The following is a 1,233-nucleotide window of genomic DNA, read 5'->3' as shown; positions in this document are numbered from 1 at the left end:
CTGAGACCAGCCTGGGCAACATAGTGAGACCCTGTCTCTAAAACTAAAATAAAATAAATTAGCCAGGTGTGGTAGCACACACCTGTAGACTTAGCTACTTGGGAGGCTGCAGTAGGAGGATCCCTTGAGCCCATGAGGTCAAGGTTATAGTGAGCTATAATCTTACCACTGCACACCAGCCTGGGTGACAGACCAACACCGTGTCTCTCTAAAAAAAAACACAATAATTAGGCCACGGGCGGTGGCTCACCGCTGTGATCCCCAGCACTTTGGGAGGCTGAGGCTGGCGCATCACGAGGTCAAGAGATAGAGAGTATCGCTTGAACTCGAGGAGAGGTGGAGGTTGCAGTGAGCCAAGATCGCACCACTGTACTCCAGCCTGGGTGACAGAGACAGACTCTGCCTCAAAAAAAAAAAAAAAAAAAAAAAAAAAGCCAAAAATATAATTGTTGGGTCTTGATCTTTTTTTTTTTTTTTTTTTTAATTTATTTTTTTATTGATAATTCTTGGGTGTTTCTCACAGAGGGGGATTTGGCAGGGTCATGGGACAATAGTGGAGGGAAGGTCAGCAGATAAACAAGTGAACAAAGGTCTCTGGTTTTCCTAGGCAGAGGACCCTGCGGCCTTCCGCAGTGTTTGTGTCCCTGATTACTTGAGATTAGGGAGTGGTGATGACTCTTAACGAGCATGCTGCCTTCAAGCATCTGTTTAACAAAGCACATCTTGCACCGCCCTTAATCCATTTAACCCTGAGTGGACACAGCACATGTTTCAGAGAGCACAGGGTTGGGGGTAAGGTCACAGATCAACAGGATCCCAAGGCAGAGGAATTTTTCTTAGTGCAGAACAAAATGAAAAGTCTCCCATGTCTACTTCTTTCTACACAGACACGGCAACCATCCGATTTCTCAATCTTTTCCCCACCTTTCCCGCCTTTCTATTCCACAAAGCCGCCATTGTCATCCTGGCCCGTTCTCAATGAGCTGTTGGGCACACCTCCCAGACGGGGTGGTGGCCGGGCAGAGGGGCTCCTCACTTCCCAGTAGGCGCGGCCGGGCAGAGGCGCCCCTCACCTCCCGGACGGGGCGGCTGGCCGGGCAGGGGGGCTGACCCCCCCCACCTCCCTCCCGGACGGGGCGGCTGGCCGGGCGGGGGGCTGACACCCCCACCTCCCTCCCGGACGGGGCGGCTGGCCGGGCAGAGGGGCTCCTCACTTCCCAGTAGGGGCAGCCG

General features: G+C 52.6%; 1 annotated feature.

Moving 5' to 3' along the window:
* Positions 430 to 968: an enhancer, noted in NCBI's record as "NANOG-H3K27ac hESC enhancer chr15:41675757-41676295 (GRCh37/hg19 assembly coordinates)". NCBI's record gives its function as "activates a minimal SCP1, AML or CMV promoter by ChIP-STARR-seq in primed H9 embryonic stem cells {active_cell/tissue: H9 hESC(primed)}" and the evidence as "EXISTENCE:reporter gene assay evidence [ECO:0000049][PMID:30033119]".

This window comes from Homo sapiens, chromosome 15 (assembly GCF_000001405.40).
Source record: "Homo sapiens chromosome 15, GRCh38.p14 Primary Assembly".
Lineage (NCBI taxonomy): Eukaryota > Metazoa > Chordata > Mammalia > Primates > Hominidae > Homo > Homo sapiens.
Note: the sequence above shows the minus strand (reverse complement) of the source record. Positions and strands in the feature narration are given on the sequence as shown.